This window comes from Homo sapiens, chromosome 8 (assembly GCF_000001405.40).
Source record: "Homo sapiens chromosome 8, GRCh38.p14 Primary Assembly".
NCBI lineage: Eukaryota > Metazoa > Chordata > Mammalia > Primates > Hominidae > Homo > Homo sapiens.
In genome coordinates this window covers 111,110,019-111,129,208 of record NC_000008.11, presented here as the reverse complement: position 1 = coordinate 111,129,208, position 19,190 = coordinate 111,110,019, and the positions used below count along the sequence as shown (strand labels likewise).

The 19,190-nt window shown below is 34.8% G+C and overlaps 1 long non-coding RNA gene across 1 annotated transcript in view; it reads left to right on the top strand.

Annotated features, from left to right (window-relative positions):
- The window catches only part of LINC01609 (long intergenic non-protein coding RNA 1609), a 137,243-nt gene that overhangs the window by 106,995 nt on the left and 11,058 nt on the right, over positions 1-19,190 (top strand). Inside the window, exons 2-3 of the long non-coding RNA NR_125418.1 lie at positions 12,609-12,674; positions 15,689-15,777. This is a non-coding gene — a long non-coding RNA (long intergenic non-protein coding RNA 1609). The remainder of the gene's footprint in view (positions 1-12,608; positions 12,675-15,688; positions 15,778-19,190) is intronic.

Below are 19,190 nucleotides of genomic sequence, written 5' to 3'. Positions count from 1 at the left end.
CTTCCCCAGTAGCAAAATTCTAACCAGAATGACAATTTGTTAAGGTCAGTGTCATTCCATAGCTTACATTAGGGTTCACTCTTGGTAGTGTTATAATCTTTGGGTTTTGACAAATGTAAAATGACATGTATCCAACATTGCAGTATCATGAAGAATTTTGTACTTTCCCAGAAATTTTCCGCCTATTCATTCCTTCCTCCCCTCAACCCCTGGCAACCAATAATCTTTTTACTGTATCGATAGTTTTGCCTTTTACAGAATGTCAAATAGTTGGAATCATACAGTATGTATCTTTTCAGATTGGATTGCCATGTGTTTTTATATTATTAAAGATTAAATATAATACTTTATTTGTAAATATATACCAAGCATACTTTTATGTATAACTCTTTTCCCTATGACCTTGTAGTGCTTTATATTATTTCATTTAACTTCAAATTGACACAAGTTTCAATGTAAGCCTTGAGCTTAAAATTTTCTACCATATTGCACTCAAGTTGTCAACAATATGAGAAGACAGAATGAGACGTTGAAATATTAGTAGTTTCAGCAATGCTTAAGGTGGACACAAATACATTAAAAAAAATAAACTATATATACCTATAGAATGTGTCCTTTAAAATGTGATTATTTGAGTAGAAACTTTAATCTCAGTCTGTTTCAGTAGGATAAACAAAATAAAATCATGTAGCCTAAGTTACATTCTTGGCTCTGTTATTTTTTTTCTCTGCACTCTTTTGCCCTTTGCTTATCCTATATCGTAGATAAGGTGTGCCTTTACTTTTTAAAGACTAATCTGTGTTTTCTATCTCATCCATTATTATCAAAATGGGTCATAGAATTTTGCCCTCATATTCACTTTAATCTACGGGTAGCGACTATTTGAAGGATTGTATTGAGAATAAGTTTTTATTGGATAATAATAGCTGCTTAACAAACCTCCGGATGAACAATGTCTCTCAAACAAGTAGAAGATTCTTTCTAATTAACCTACAGCTCTGAGGAGGTATTGTACCTCTCATCATATATTCGTAACCCATGCTAATTCAACCTAGTGGATTCACTGTTTTAATATTGGGCCCTGAAAGAAACTCAGGTCACAAAATGGGAAACTCAAGGATAGCATGCAGAAGACTTTTCTAGACCAATGTTGGAAGTACATCATATCATTTGTGCTCACAGCACATCACTGCTAGACCTCAAGACAACAGCACTCCAAGGGAGACTTAGAAAAGCAATACCAAAGAAGAAAACAAAGATTTAGTTACTGACTTGCTACTCATTGCCAGATTAAATCTGAGCTATACTGTGAACTATGGTGTGATGAACTGTGGTGTGGTAAAGGACCATATGGTTTCAGTTACTGAACAATCTGGGTCATGTCTGTCTCAGTATAAAACTTAATTGTCCCACTTTCACTCTTAAAAGTCTCCTGGTATGGATAATAAAGGGTATCATAATTGTATATATTATGTACATGTTCCACAGGGGTAACATCTAAGTCTTCCATAAGAGATTAAATATCCAACTTTACTCTATTTTAACCTGTATATTTAAGACACATGTCTCCTCCATTATTTCTTTCTTGACCATCACAGTTCAGTAGACTTTCTGCATTGTTCTAAATAGAACATTTATACAATCATGTCATCTCATCAAGCTATCATCAAGACTTTCTCTTTGATCGCTGGATTTTCCATATATGTATCTGGTAACTACTGTTTCTTACTTTGTAGTTACTTTATCTTTAATCCTTTTGTGATGTACCTTATGTTGAATTGTAATCTTCAATGCTAGAAGTAGGGCCTGGGTGGAGATGTTTGAATCATGGGGGTGGATCCCTTGTGGCTTGGTGCTGTCTTCTTGATAGTGAGTTTTTCTGAGATCTGTTTAAATGTGTGTGGCACCTCCCACCACCCCACCCTCTCCCTCTTGCTTCTATTCTGGCCATGTGATGTGCCTGTTTTCCATTTGCCTGGGCCATGACTGTAAGCTTCCCAAGGCATCCCCAGAAGCAGATGCCAGCACTATGATTCTTGTATGGCCTGCAGAACCTTGGGCCAGTTAAACTTCTTTTCTTTATAAATTACTCAGTCTCCGTTTTTTTGTGTTTTTTGTTTTGTTTTGTTTTGTTTTTGTTTTTTGAGACAGTCTCACTCCTCTGTTGCCCAGACCAAGCTGCAGTGCAGTGGCGCAATCTCGGCTCACTGCAACCTTTGCCTCCTGGGTTCAAGTGATTCTCATGACTCAGCTTCCCTGGTAGCTGGGGCTACAGGGGTGTGCAACCACACCTGGTGGGCTAATTTTGTATTTTTAGTAGAGACAGGATTTCACCATGTTGGCCAGGTTGGTCTTGAACTCCTGGCCTCAAGCGATCTGCCCACTTTGGCCTTCCAAAGTGGTGGGATTATGGGCCTGAGTCACCATGCCTGGCCTGAGGTATTTCTTTACAGCAATGCAAAAATGGCCTAATACATTTTGCAAACAGAATCTCTGACCATCCAGTGAACAAAATGCTTTAAATGAACACCAGTGATTTTCAAAGACCACAGTATGATCTAAAAGACTATAATAAATGGTCTGTTGGAGTTTTTATTTTTCATCACTCTATATAGTATTTAGCATTATTGAGTCTTCCTTCTAATTTAAAATCCCCTTCCTCCTGTAATAATAAACTGTTTTGATTATATGCTTACTTTTATGACTCCTTTTCTCTTTCCCTTTAAAATTCTTATTTCTATTACCACGTACCTTTTAATAAATGCTCTTCCAAGTTCAGTCATATCTCTTTTCTAGTGGGAAATGTTTTTGGTTGGCTGGGAGCAGTGGCTCACGCCTGTAATCCCAACACTTTGGGAGGCTGAGACGGGTGGATCATGAGGTCAGAAGTTAAAGACCAGCCTGGCCAAGATAGTGAAACCCCGTCTGCATTAAAAATACAAAAATTAGCCAGGCGCAGTGGCAGGCGCCTGTAATCTGAGCTACTCAGGAGAATCGCTTGAACCCAGGGGATGGAGGTTGCAGTGGGCTGAGATCATGCCACTGCACTCCAGCCTGGGCAACAGAGTAAGACTCTGTCTCAAAAAAAAAAAAAAAAAAAAGAAAGAAAGAAAGAAAGAAAAGAAATGTTTTTGGTTGTTGCTTTTGTTTGGCAGATTAAAATTTGTTGTTGCTTTGAGGAGCTATTGTAAAAGCAATATCACAATTATTTTTTGTTTTTGGTTTTCTGATGCTACAGGAAGGTTTCTGCACTCTGAGAACGATTTGTGCATGGGTGTTAGGCTTTTTTTACTCAAGAACACTGACATCAATGGGCAAGTACAGCCATTCTTTTAGAGGATTTATAGATTTCTACTTGATTCCCCTTGGGGTCAAATAAAAAATCAGTTCTCTTCCAAATCTTGAGGGTATTTTGTCCTTTACAAATTTATTTATTTTAATAATTCCATCAGTATTTGTGTTTTAAACAGCTTTATTAAAGTATAATTGATATATAAAGAACTACACATATGATTGTGTATAATTTGATGGGTTTGGATATATACAAATATCTTTGATACCATTATTAAAATCAAGGTAATTGCGTCTACCAAAAAAATGCACTCAAAATATGTATGTTATGGTGCCTCCTATATTGTTCTTCCTTGACTTAGTTTATTGCACTAAATAAAAATGTATGCACCCTATGTGTCTCATCTACAAATTGACATGACTAGAAGTAAAACCACAAAATTAATCCCCAAGTATCTTCTTATCTTTTTTTTTTAACTTTAGTATATGTCACTACAATTTACCAATTAGTAGTTCTGCCAGAAATTTGGAAGAAATAGGTACATCTGATTCCTCATCTATTGCTTTCAATGATACATTCTATGTGTGGTGGAAAGACAGGATAGAAATGGTATCATCTCTCTCTCTCTACTGCATTCTGTTTTCTAATTTAAAAAAAAAAAACTCTTTCAGAGAATGGATTTCCTGTATCTGCAAGTTTTATGAAGGGATAGGAGTTTGCCAATAATGATTAAAATAAAATATTGTTTTAAATTTCTATTTCCCTCAGTAAACTAAACTGCATGGAGGCAAGGATGACACATATTTTGTTCAAAATTTAAAACCTGGAGTTGAATATTACTTTTTCATATTTTAATTGACCTTTTGAATATCCTATTTAAAATGTTTCTATTAATATAGCTTTTGGCTATGTTTTTTTCATACATTATGGATATTAAACTCTGCATGTTAATTGCCAATATATTCGCTAGTGTACTATTTATTATTTAACTTTATTTATAAGAACTTTTGTTCTTCCAAAATTTGTTTTTAATTAGGAAGATCTTATTAACCTCAGGGTTGTATATTTGTTTTCCTAATTTTTCCTTTATTATTGTTTACATTTTTTTGCATTTAAGAATTTAAGAAATTCTGCTTTACACTAATTTGTGAATACTCACTGAAGCTGCTCTACCATACAGTAGCTGCCTTAAAAGAGCAGAATAATTTTCTTAAATAAAAAAAGGAAACACCAGGGAGTGCAGGAACTGAGAGCAATTACTGAAAGATGAAAGTGGGAACACTAGGTATGTTCTGCTATAAGCACAAGAAGATGGGCTGGGAGTAATGCCAATGTTTGCCAGAGTATTACCGTGAGTACCACCAACCAGTGATCTCCTGCCTAAGTCTATCTCTGCCAACCATTCACACAGAAAATTAGAATAGACATCAGAGACCGAGGTGGCTACCTCCAGAAGAGCACACTGAATATGGCATATTGTATTATTAAGAAATAACTCTTCCCTGGAAGTCCACTTTCAGTAGGAATGAGGAGTGAATACCCTCAAAAGCTAGCAGACTAAGGTGCACCTCATAAAGGGATTTTTCTATGCTTTACAAACTCACAAGAAGCCTGGCAGAAGGAAAACCCCAATGGTGAATTGTGGAAACAACAGTAGAAGACAACCGATGAGAAAATGGAACTACAAAGAGATTACACAGAGGTCATTATTAAACAAATCAATATATTTTGGAGAGAAAAATAATGATAAAAATTAAAAAGTAGCATCAACATTTTAAAGAAATACCATAAAAATAGAGGCTAAAACATTAAAATGAATACAATTAATATAATCAGAGAAATAAGGTGACATCTTATTCCTGAAACAAAAAGAATAATTTTTTCTTAAAAAAGTTCTGACTGGGAATTTTTCTAGTAAAGCTGCTTAAATCTTTGCACTTTGATTCAGTGGGAGGCTTCACAACTCATGCTTCAGGCATATTTGGGTGACTTTTATGCTTACTTTTTTTTTTTTTTGTCTTGCTCATTTGTTTTCCCTCTCATTTCTTCTGGACTTGAAACAAAAGCATTTAGTTCCAAACTCTGCTGACTGCCATTCTAAAACCACAAGGGAAAGCAAGCTTAAAATCATACAAAACAAGAGTAAAACACAGCAAAACAAAGCAGAAATAAATGATCAAATATCAAACAAATAAACAATATGACAAAAAAAAAGAAATGAACATTTGGAGGCATCATTGAGCCAGTTTCTCTTTTTCAGAGCTGAGGATATCTTAACTGATAACAGAAACAATACTTGTTATGATAAATCCTAGATAGAATGAATACAAGTGAAAAGTAAGCTGCTGACCCAGAAGATAGAACATAGGCTAGCAGACTAAGGTGCACCCATACTACATAATAATAATATGTAGTAAAAATTACATCTGCATAGTAAGAAAAAAGGTATTAAAATATACTATATACTATGGCACTAGTATATAAAGATTTAATAAAAGTTTACATGTTTAATATTGAAAATGTCAAGATTTAAAATTTGTATAAAATATTTTGTTGTTTTAGTGAGAATTAGAGAAGGGAGAATATTTTAGTGGGTATGCTGTCATGCTATGCAGAATAACCTTGGTCTTACATTAAAGCATATTTTGTAAGCAAACATGATGTTTTGGAAGTATGATTTGATGGGTTTGAATATATACAAATATCTTTTTTACCATTACTAAAAACTACCATAACAATGCAAAGTCATAAAAACAGTTTATTGCACCTGCCTGGACAACATGGTGAAACCCCGTCTCTATTAAAAAACAAAACTAGCCAGGTGTGGTGGCAGGCACCTGTTATCCCACCTATTGGGGAGGCTGATGCAGGAGAATCACTTGAGTCCAGGAGATGGAGGTTGCAGTGAGCTGAGATCGCGCCACTGCACTCCAGCCTGGGTAACAGAGTGAGATTCCAACTCATAAAAAAAAAAAAAATTATTGCAATTTTTTATCATTTCCTTCAAAGGTTTCTATCACTTCATTTCAGGCCAAATGTTGAACTGGTTTTTTCCATTTTATTTTCTGAGAAAAAAATAGAGTTCTTTGAGTTCTGAATTTAATTATTATAGATTTGAGTAAATATTCATATCTTCTTGGTATAGAATTACATAACATTTAATTCTTAATAGCATGTACTTGAATATTGTGTTTTCTGTTTTACTTTAAGGTAAATCAAATAGATCTGCTTGATTTTTTTCAGAGTAAGATACTTAAAATCTCTATTGTTTACTAATTTATTAATTTCTATTTTCAGTTTCAGTTTTCCATCTGATATTTTGTAGGTTTGTTTCATTTTTTTTGTTGTTGTTGATGATGTTTTCCTAATTTTTACCTTGCTCTTTCTGTTTATCTTTATATGTGTGTGTGTGTGTGTGTGTGTGTGTGTGTGTGTAGATAGGTAGATATATAGATATGCTTAATAGTTTAGTTATTAAATCTGATTAGTGTTGTGTTCTATAATTTCGTATTTGTATACTGTTTTTCTTCATCATATATATGAATAAAAGCATTCCAACCCAAGATTAATAAATGTTTTGGTAGATTTATTCAAAAGAATTTAAAACTATATTTTCTTCAATAGATTTCTGGTTATTTGCAAATAAATATTCTCTATAAGTGTCTATGTTTCACTTATTCATTAAGCACAAAGCTTGCTAAATGTTTGTGTCTGTGTTTAAGCTGAGCCGAATAAAAATGCATTTTCTTGGGCATTTACTAGTAGATGGTAAATTTTACAGTGTTTTTTACAGTAAATTTTACAGTATAATTTATACTAGTTTAGATTTCATCTGCAACTGTTGAATGTATAGAAATATACTACAGGTGTTATGCATATGCACACACGCATGCACACACGTACAATCATATATACCAGCATACTGACATAGACTAGCAAATTTGCTAATGCTGTGATTGAATAAATAATTGATGGAATAAATTAATAAAGAAAAAATTGAATGCATAATTAAAATCAACTTATGTATTATACTTATTGAAATCTGAATTATAGCAATGACTTGATCAATAACATTTTGTTTAACATTACACAATTCAAACTCTCGCTCTTTCCTAAAAGTAATTAATGTATGGAAATCTCCAAGTCATGCTTTTCTTATAAAATTTATTACTATTAGCCTATTAAATATTTTGCCAAACATTACTTCCATAAATCTATTTATTTTGGAGACCAGGAGCAAAATCTGTTTTTGCCTGACTCAATCATACGGCTGATGTTTAATTAAAAACAAAAAAACTGATTATAAACTAATGATTCAGATCATCCCTCTAGGGGATCAGAGAGGAAAAGCTGACATAATATGACAGACGCTTTCTTTCAACCACTAGTTACAGGAAGCACATTCTAAATATAAAAAGTCAATTTGTTTTCAGAAAACATATTATTGTATATAGTAAAAAGAAAATTAAACAAATAAGCTTTGAAATAAGTAGATATCAGGGTTACAAATAGCAAATCTCTAATATTTGACTTGGAAAGAATAAAATAATAGTATGTTTCTTCAACTGTACTTTTCTCTGACAGTGAATTACAACAGGAGAAATTCAGACATCCATGCCATGGGTGCTAATGCATTTTTAGAAGCTGAAAAGTAAGTAGCAGCCCCAGCTAGCAGAGCTTTTTACTGATTTCAATCCATGGAATGTACCTTAGTTAAGTATAGATACTTATGACATAGTGATATAATTTAAAATAAAAAAATGTCATGTATATCTCACAACAAAATTTTTCTATAATATTAGTTACACTGAATTTACATGTAAGCTATGAATGTGAAAAATGAAAAAACCCAAGAAAGTATAAATGTATCATCAAATGATTTTGATTTAGGATAATTGTTTTAATAATAATTATGCAGTAAAAATTATATCTGCATAGTAATAAAAAAGATATTAAAATCTATTCTTCATTTTGACATGCAAAGAAAAATAGGTAATCAAAAAGGAGCTGATGGAGACCAATGAAGACAAAACAAATTCTATGATACGTAGTAATACATTTTGTAAGATCTATGTTGTTGATTATAAACTAGATACAAATTTACATACCTTGTACAAGTATAGTGTGTCAGACACTGTTAGGCCTGATCCAATCTATTTTTAGGTTCTTTCTTATAGGATTCCAGCAAGAGATGACCAAGTAGCTAGATTCTGGCTGATATGATTTCTGATATACTCATCCTGGGATATTTTTAAAATTTTTCTTATATAGTCAAACACCTTTCTCCTCTTCTTTCTCCCTGATGAAATGCAGGCATTGCAACAAAGATATAGGATCTATATTGAGACCATATGATAATAAGACTAAGAAAAGAAAAATACAATCATGAAAACAGTCCTGGTAGAGTTGATATAGTTGCTCCACTGAACTGACAGTCCTAAGAATGCTTGTCATCATATTCCAGAGCCTTGAATGTTAGCTGCATTCCATTATCTTTAGACTAAGCCCTACGAGAAATGAATACAAAGTACATTTTTACTTGTGCCTCAGTTCCACTACTTATAAGTAGATAGCATAATTGCAGAATTGTGTATAGGTTAATTGATAGTTTAAGGGCAAATTACAATCTAAGGAGATACTGTAAGAAGATAGTGCAAGGAGATCTTGTATAATTTATTTTAGGCTGAGAAGATAGAATTAAAAATCTTGCCATACTCTAGTCCTCATATTGGCTTCAGCTAATTTGTAATTTATTCAGGCTGCCTGAAAATGATTTTATTCTGCTTGCCATGTAGTTTAAGGTTCTTGGACCACTGTATTTTCAATCCTTTGTATATATCTTTTGTCCGATTTTTGTCATGCATCTTATCTTTATATTTTTATGAACACAAAATTGTTTGTTATTCTTTTCCATAGACAATCATCCTTTTTTTTTTTTTTTTTGAGACAGAGTCTCGCTCTGTCACCCAGGCTGGAGTGCAGTGGCGCTATCTCGGCTCACTGCAAGCTCCGCCTCCTGGGTTCACGCCTTTCTCCTGCCTCAGCCTCTCAAGTAGCTGTGACTACAGGCGCCCGCCACCACGCTTGGCTAATTTTTTGTATTTTTAGTAGAGACGGGGTTTCACCATGTTAGCCAGGATGGTCTCGATCTCCTGACCTCATGATCTGCCCACCTCGGCCTCCCAAAGTGCTGGGATTACAGGTGTGAGCCACCGCGCCTGGCCGACAATCATCTTTTAAAGTTGGTAAAAATATAGCTTTAAGAAATAAAAAGAACATATTTTATATTGCCTTTATTTAATTCAGTGCTAGCATGCTCTGTTTCGTTGTGTTGATTCAGGTGTTGTGCCAATGAATGACTTTATTCATTTTTAAACGTGAGTCTATATTTCCTTTTAACTTTTGAAGATATTTTAACTGGATACAGAATTCAGGGTTGACAGGTTTTGTTTTGTTTTTCTTTTCAGCACTTTACAGATGTCAATATATTGTCTTCTAGACAACATGGTTTCTGATATCTGGTGTCATTCTCACTTTTTTGTTTAATATACTATCTTATATTCCTCTGACTACCTTCAAGACTTATATATGTTTTTTTGATATTGTTTATTTAAATGTGATATTCCTCCATGTTTTATACTCCTTGATGCTCTCTGAAGGTTTTGATTCTTCAGCTTGTTGTCTGTCACTAATTTTGAAAAATGTTTTGGCATTATTCTTCAAATATTTCTTTCATTCTATTCTTTTTTACAATCACATAGGCATCATGTTGCTAGGTCTCAGGAACATAGCCTTTACTAGTGCTTCTGTACCTCTGCTGACATTCTCCCATAGCTATTGGATGCCCTATTTTGCCCCATATCCCTATTATCTCTGGACCTGTTTCAGTTTGGGTAATTTCTATTAACCTAGACTCACTTATTCTTTGTTCACGTGTTGAGTATACTAATAAGCCCTGCATCAGTGAGAGAAGTATAATCAGTCCGACTTAAAGAGGGAAGAGCGGGGAGAATAGAGAATGAGTGGAAGGTTTTACGACAAAGTCTATCTGTGGGGCAAGCCATTAAGCTATATACTATCATGCAGGAGCTGAGGCTACAGTGTTGAGGCAGAATGTATTCTTCCACAGTGAAACCTGTTTGCTCTCATGGCTTTTAACTGATTAGATGATACGCATCCAAATTATTAAGGATAATTTATTTTACTTAAAGTGAAATGATTGTTGATTGTAACTACATCTATAAAATACTCAAGAACAACACCTAGATTAGTGTTTAATTGAATAACTGGATACTATAGCCTAGCCAATTCAACACATGAAACTATCACAAGCCAGTGCAACACATTTATCGTCTTTGTTGCTGTTTTCACTTCTATAATTTTTAATTATTTGTTATAATTTTCATATTTCTTCTGACATTACCCATATGATCCTGCATGTTCTGTACCTTCCCTGAAAGACTTCAACGTATTTATCATAGATAGGGAGATCCTGCACTGATGTTTTATCTGAATCTGACTTTGGATCTTGGGTGTGTATTGCTTTCCTTAGACTTATGTATGCCTCATATATTTCTTTTTTATGCCATAAGTTAAATTGAACTACAGTGTATAAAATGACAGCTTTTATGCCTACAAATGACTACACCTTCTCTCTTTCAATTGTCACTTAATGTAAGAATTTGAACTATTATGATTAGGAAATGGACCAGGTTTCAAGTCTTGCCTTTTTTACATTTGTTCTTAGTACTCCCAGGTGTCAAATTCTTATAGAAATAATTTGTATTTGAAATGGGAGGGGCTGCTCTGATTAAATATTTATTTTTACTCAATGTCTGCTCTACCCTTAGCTTTAGGTCTTACTTATGTTTAGCATCTCAGAGATGGCCGTCTTACAAGTTCTTTCCTTCTCTACCTCTCACCAGTGTTTTACTATCATTGTTACTGGATTTTTGTTAGCCTCGTGGGAATGGGAGTGGCTGGGGACGGGCAGACATTCTTTGTTCCTTAAATGTAGCCTCAGTGGATCTCAGCAATGTGGTCTTTTCTAATACTTTGAACTTCCACCAGCTTTAGTGCTTAGCTCAGCATATACACCTGCTCCTTAACAAGGTATAGGTTTATTTAGATTTTGGTCCTTTTCTCAAGATGAAAAGGGCTTTCCCTAGTTCTCTGACAGTGTTTGTGCCCTTACCCCAATAAACTGAAGATTTGTTTTTATTAGGAAGTAAAGGAATAAAATTCTGGGTAGAACTTCTTGTCTCTCATGCAGCAGCTTCCGTTCTCCCAGGTATGCATCAAAAGGGACATACCCTTAAAATTTCTCCAATCTATTCTGCGAGTGCTCAGTAGGGTTCATAAAGAAAAAGTCTATAGTGGATACAGATGCCTCCATTTGTTAAAAGCCCTAGGGGATTCACACTCCCCAGTCCACACTTGGCCTCCTCCAATTAGGGAACAATCCTGGCTACACTCTTCTTTCTTGTGTTCTGTTGCCTCTAACCTAGCTAAAGCTGTCCCACATTTATGTCTCTTTACAGGCATTCACCCCTCCTTAAATAGAGCTCTCTGACACATTCAGCATGTCATAAACTTGAAGCCTGTCTTGAACTTTGCATTGTAAGAGTGGGTGTGATGTCCTTTCTAGCTCTCTACATCCTTTACTGAAATCACAAGTCCCTCCCTCCCTTTTGTCTCCAAACCCCATCAGTTTGTGTTTGGTCCCTGCATTAATTATTTGTCATTGCATAACAAATTACCACAAACTGGGTGGCAAAGGAACCCGTGTTTATCATCACATAGTTTTTGAGGGTCATACCTCAGGGTATATCATGGGTGGATCTTCTGCTTCAGGTTCTTTCACAAGATTGTGATTAATGTGTCAGCCAGGCCTGCATTTCATCTGAAGGCTCAACTAAGGAGGGATTGACTTCCACGGAAAAGTATTCACAGGAGGTTTGACTGAGGACCTCTTTTTCTTGCTTTGACTGTAATTACCTATAGTTTCTTGCCATTTGGGCCTCTCCAACATGCAGTTTGCTTTACTGAACTCAGCAAAGGGAAGAGTCAAAACAGAAGTAACAGACTTATGCAGCCTAATCATGAGAATAGCCTTTCCATCCATCCATCACCTTTGCTTTATTCTATTGGTTAGAAGCAACTCACTAGGCTAACTTATACTCAAGGGGAGACACTATTATACAAGGTTGTGAATAAGAGGCAGTGGATATTATTGAGGACCTTTGTAGTACATGCCTGCCACAATACTCAAAGTACATAAAATTACTTAACTTTGCTGATCCTTCCATATCTCCAGGATCCATGGCTATAACTGCTACCAAGCTCTGGGCTGCAGTAGTGTATCATCCATAACGCAAATAAGGTAATGTAGAAGATTTCACATCCAAATATGTTATTCCTCTAGTCATTTAATAATAACTTAATATTTTCTGTATATTTGGGGTGCTAATACCCTATATGGTTATAATTTCTTGCCCTGTCAATCCAGAAACAAATATGAGCTATCCAAATTATCCAGGAAGAAAAATAATTTATGGCTAATTTGTAATTAAATGTAATGTTGAGATAAATTGAACCTGTCTATATTGTGGCTGAATTACTGCTGTGGCCCTTCCACTGATATCAAAAGTAGTTTACTAGTATCCAGCACTCCGGAAATTTTATTAGTCTCTTTGTTTTTAAATTTCTAATTTAAAAAATATATATATTTTCTCTACTTCTTGCTTATACCAGCATCCTGAGACAAGAGTGGTAAGGGAGATGTAAATTTAAGGTGATTTTTTTCCTCTTCTCTTTTAAAAAATCACAATTCTAAGAATATTTGACTATAAAATTACTCTCTTGGCTACTGGCAACATTTCTGAAATGTTTACTTCTGAGAACAGTGTGATTGATAAGGGTACTGTATTGGATGCTCTTGCTCCATTTACAATACTGAATATGACAAACACACACCTACACCCCACAACAACAATAACAAAACATAGCAAAGATCCAATATGGAGTAGCTGACAATAGTATGTCATTCAGGTGCCCCAGAGAAATGAACTTGATTAGGGATATGGTGGGGGCTAACCTCATTGGTATATGTTGCAGTTACCACTACAAAAGCGGTTTCTTCCTCGGTTAGTGGCTAGTGGCAGCATATAGATTTCACCCGCAAAAACATAGAACTTTACCTAAGATAAGCAATTGGTTATACTTAATTGGCTTATTTCCTGGCTGTGTGAGAAAAATACAGTGGCAAATGTCACAAAAGGAATGAGTAACTGTTCTATCTATAAGATATTCAAGTCATTCATTTTAATTTTAACATGCTGAAAAGATTTTTTCTATTTCTCTACATAGCTTTTGATCTCACAAAAGGAATCTGGAAATAAACCATGGGGCAGATATTTTGACCTTCACATCAGTGGATATTTTTCTAGGTATTTTGTTTTTCAGGAAAGCAGAGCCTTGATGATATATCTAGTGACTCAACTTATAAACAGGAAACCAAAGGTTCTGTAACCTTAGGTAGACGTGGTCATTTGTAAGTGTCCTATTGCTTGTGAAATCACATCATTAATTCAGTTGTATCTCTTATTAGACCTAGTATTATGGACCTGTGTCCTCACAAAATTTATATGTTGAATTCTTAACCTCAAGTATCTCAGAATGTGACTGAACTTTGTGATAGGGCTTTGGGAAAGTAATTTAGGTGAAATGAGGTCATATAGTAGGCCCTAATGCAATGCGACTACTGTCCTTATAAGTACAGGGGGTTAGGACAAAGACTCACAAACAATAATGACCATGAGAAGATGCTGGAGGAAGACAATTATTAAAAGCCAAGGAGAGAAGCTTCCACAGAAACAGCCCTGCCTACACTTAGATCTTGTACTCCTAGCCTCTATAACTATGAAAAAATAAATTTCTGTTGTTAAAGCCACCTAGTCTGTGGTATTTTATTTTAACAGTTCTAACAAACGATATACCTAGGGACTGCATTACTTGGCTGAATTCTAGATTTCTTCAGGTTGATATTTTGATGATGATGTATCTTCAGAACCTGTAGTACATTGTCTTTAGCTTGCAGCCTGATGTTATTATTGATTCTTTGGTCCCCCAGGAGTTACAGCTAGGGTCTGGGTTGGCCAGAGTCTCTCTGGACAAGTTGTTTTTGGATAACTATAATACTCCCATAATTATGTAAGTTTGTTATACAAAATGTATTGTTTTCTATTCATGACTTGAAGGGAAAAAATGAGGACATATGATATCATTTTTCTGCAAAGTAATTTCCCTCAATTCTCCCAAAACCAACCTAACAAGGCTTGCTCCAGCTGCTCGCTAGAATTCTGACTGATTATGACTGAAGGCATTGTAAACAAAAAGGAGTTTTTTGTTGTTACTGTTGTTGCACTTGCTGTCTTCTCGCAGAATACCATTCTTCTCCCTGCGATTTCTATCAGGACCCTTTAATAATGAGTCACTAGGCACACACAGCCACCACAGGAAGGTTAATCCTTTTGAGCGGAACAGCAAATATGTCAGGACAGTAGCAAGCAGGACAGGCTGAGCTGGGGCTAGAGTGTTCTGTGGAACTGATTTTTCAAGTTCTCTGGTCCTGGCAGGTTGACATAAGAGCCTGGGCGCTCTGTTAGCTACTGCCAGGCGGGTTGGCTGCTAACTCATTGTTCTTTCACAGTTGAGGGGATACTGGGCCTGTGTGGTAGAGAAGTTCAGGTATACTTGGCACTGACAGTTAAGGACTAATCACCTGTGGTGACAGTGATAGTAATGGCAACATCAGAGGCTACAGTAGTAAAGGAATTTTGCTTGCAGAGGAAAAGAGGAAAGATAGAGTGGCAGAGGCCATTGAACCCCCACATCAGAAGACAAAAAGAAGCAGCAGCTTCCATTCCAGATGGGAAGACACAAGCAGGATTTTAATAACCCTTAAATTCCTTTCACAACCAGATTTTAATTTCCATTTATCCACCAAGACTTCTTTCTGGGAAGTGTTAGGGTTTACTTCATGAATGGCACTTGCTGTTTCCCTGAAAGCTTGAATAATGAATTTCTTTAATGTTTACCTGTGTATTACAAATTGCCTGTATTTGTCCCAGAACATGTGGGGGTTTCCTGGCATAGCTTTTTGAGCTATTTCTTGTTCTTCTAATTCTCTCTCCAGTGTCTCTAATGCAAGATAATTCTGTTGATCAAAAAGGTAGCTTCTCTGGGTCATCCAACAAACATTCCTGGTCTCACTACTAGGATAGTCTCAACTAGGTCCTCAGTCTCTGAGCAACATTATGTCATATACTAATGATCGTCTGCACTAAATCATGGGAAATATTATGTTCATTTTTATCTTTCTTCCATTTAAACAAGGTGCCTAAACCCTATATTGAAGGCTACAGAGAGGACTACATTGAGACTTGGCAAAGTCCTATAGAAGTTTTGTTTTCTTATGGTAAACTGTAAGTATATAGTTTATTAATGATGCATCAGGCAGATAAACATTTGATGAGCAAAGCTTCCTTCGGTTCCCCAGCTCCTCACAGGGAGTGGGCTTGAGCTGATGATCATATAGGCTATTCTTCAGTTGTCCCCCAATCTCTTCTCAGCACCATCTGTGACCTGCCTCATAGCCCAGGATACTAGTTCTGTGGACAGAATCACACAGGTTTGTGTGTGTGTGTGTGTGTGTGTGTGTGTGTGTGTGTGTGTGTGTGTTTCCCTGTATGTCTTTAAAGTGGTATCTATCCAAAGCATTCACAGGAGTTCAGAAAATAGGAGAAAAGAGAAATACAGATATTTTCTCACTGAACATCCTTCTAATGCATGGATTGCATCCATACATTTATTTCAATGATTATTTAATAATTTTCTATTGCCTATAAGAAAAAAATCCATACCTTATAACATGAAATTTAAAGACATCAAGCAATCAGCTACATCATGGCTCTCTGACTGCTTCCCTGACCTCTGATATACCTTAAGGTATAAAGATTTTTTATACTTTAGTGCCATTTTAATATAGCGCGCTTTTGTTTAAGCTACCCTCTTTCTCACCTTGATTATCACCCTGCACTTACCTAATTATTATATAGCTCAGCTAATTATCTCCAAATTAAACAACATAAATCTCAGATCAGGTGTCATAATTTCAGGAAACTCTTTAACATCCTACTTTTTAAACTTTTAAATGTGTCTCTACTGTGCTATCAATAAATTTTGCACAGATGTACAAAAGCAGTAGAATAAATACATAAATCGTGGTATATTTATACCACGAAGCGTAGTACAACAATAAGAATGGATAATTCTTGTAATCATATTGTTCAAGGTTCCAGGTCCAAGAGAGTACCTGTTGTATGACTCCACTTTTATAAATTTCACAATCAGGCTACAGTGTTAGAAGTCAGGAAAGCGGATGATACCTTGGTAGTGAGTAGCAGAGAAACACAGATGGGAATTCTATGGGACTGAGAAATCGTAAACATTGCTGAGTGGAGCAAGGAAGATGTAAACAAGTGGAGAGATAGATCATACTCATTGTTGCTAAAATGCAATATTGTTATCAATTCTCTATAAATCGACCTGTAGGTTCAACAAGATACCAATAAGATTTTCTACGCCAGCTATTAAAAAGGCACTAACATAGATTCTATAATTTACCTTTAATTGAAAAGGACTTGGAATAGTCAGAACAAATAGAAAAAGAAGAATAAAATTGAATATCTCAAAGTTCCTAGTTACAAGACTTAGTATAAACCACAATAATCAAAATAATGTAGTAAAGTATTGGCATGTGGATATTCAAAAAGATAATAATAGATAATCAAGAAATATACCCACATATAATTCAGTTAATTAATTTTGCTGAAGTTGAATGAAGCAATGATTAATATGTACTTTAAAAAAATTAGGGCTGACGAAACTGTAGACACACTAGAAAAAACAATACTAATCACTACCTCACATTATGCACAAATATTAAAGTGACATGTATCTATATTTATATAGTCTTTCAATAAAGAGAAAATATTTATAACCATGAGGTAGAATAATATTGTAAATAGTAAACACAGTGAAAATAAAATTTAAAAATATCAGAAAATTAGACATCATTAAAATCAACAATTTTTGTCTTAAATTAAAAGAAACTCAAGAAAACTGATAATTCACAGACACAGAGAAAATATTTTCAATGCATATTATCTGATAAAATATTGAAAATTAGAGTATATTTTATTTACATGAAATCAATAACAAAAAGAAATTAACGAAAAAACAGTGACAGTGAGGAAAGATATAGGACCCAGAATTCACCAGAAAATAAATATGATTGTTCAATAAGGCCTTGAAAAAGTGCTCAGCCATATCAATTTTAGGGAAAATGGCTGAAATTTAAAAGATCATACTTAAAAGACTATAATGGCTGAAATTAAAAAAAAATAGCAGCATAAATATGTAGAAGAATGTGGAGCTCCTGAGACTTTCATGTATTCATGGTGCAGGTATCAAAAAGACCAACCAGCTAGGAAAGTGTGTCTTTGTTTTCTGCTGCTTATAGAATATATCTGAAACTGAGTAATTTTTTTACATGAATTTATTTCGTATAGTCATGGAGGCTGAGAAGTCTAAGGTCAAAGAGCCATACCTGCTGAGGGACTTTTTTCTAGTAAGACTCTGCAGAGTCCCAAAGCAGTGCAGAGCATCACATGGCGAGGAGGATGAGTGTGCTAGCTCAGGTATCTACACCTCTTCTTATAAAGAAAGCCACATCCCACTCTCATGTCAGCTTATTAATCCATTAACCCATTAACCCACAAATCCATGAATGGATTAATCCATCCATGCAGACAGAATGCTTGTGACCTAATCACCTCTTAAAGACCCTAACCCTTCAATATTGCCACATTGAAAATTAAATTTCAGCATGAGTTTTGAAGAGGACAAATACTCAAACCATAGCCTTTTGTTTCTCTTGGATAATCTGGAATTTCCAGACTCCAGTCATACAGAGGAAAAAAGTGATTCTGAGCTTCTGTAACTTATAATCAACTCATTTCCCTGCATTTGGAGCACAGGGGATAAAAGTTGAACATCACAATGAAAAATGGTATACATAAGAAGTTCAAATGTAAAATAGAAGCCTTTAGAGAAGAAGTGGTGAGCTCACTTGCTTGTGTTGATCAGTATATTATGCAGCACATTTAGACATAAAGAAGGAATCCAGAGAGTAAAAATAGTTTTAATCAACACATCCTCTGCATTCCCCTAATGTTAAGCAAAGAAAGCTGATGTGGTGGTCTCTTACTGTTCTTTAAATAAAATAGCAAGTTGTTACTTTGGCAATTTATCATGCCATTTATTATGTCATGTGACAAATTTGGCTGGATGGGTAGAGATGAGCTTTTCTTACTTAGATGTTCACTTTTGGGACAACTTTAAAATACATTTTTATTACTTTTTGTTTCCTCAAGTTCATGCTCTGTGGGAAGCAATCTATTATAAGGCAGATTTGTTCAATAGGTCCTGCAGGGATTGACAAATACAAGTCTCTAGGGATGTTATTTTGGTGGTAGAAAATAGAAAGAAATCTTTGAAATAAATGTAAGAAATAGATATAAAATATACACAAAACAACCAATATGTTTTTATTTTAGATATTTAGAATTATGAAGATTAATCTCAAAGAAAACTCAACCATTGCTTTTCCTGAATTTATAATTAGCTTGATAAAATATAATTCCTAAAAGGCATATAATATTTTTATATTTTAGCTGTCTCTCTAATAACCAAATCAATGAAAACCAATTTTCCAAAATTATTATTATTATTTTTAATAAAAATTGTCACACTATATCCAGAGAAGAATACAATT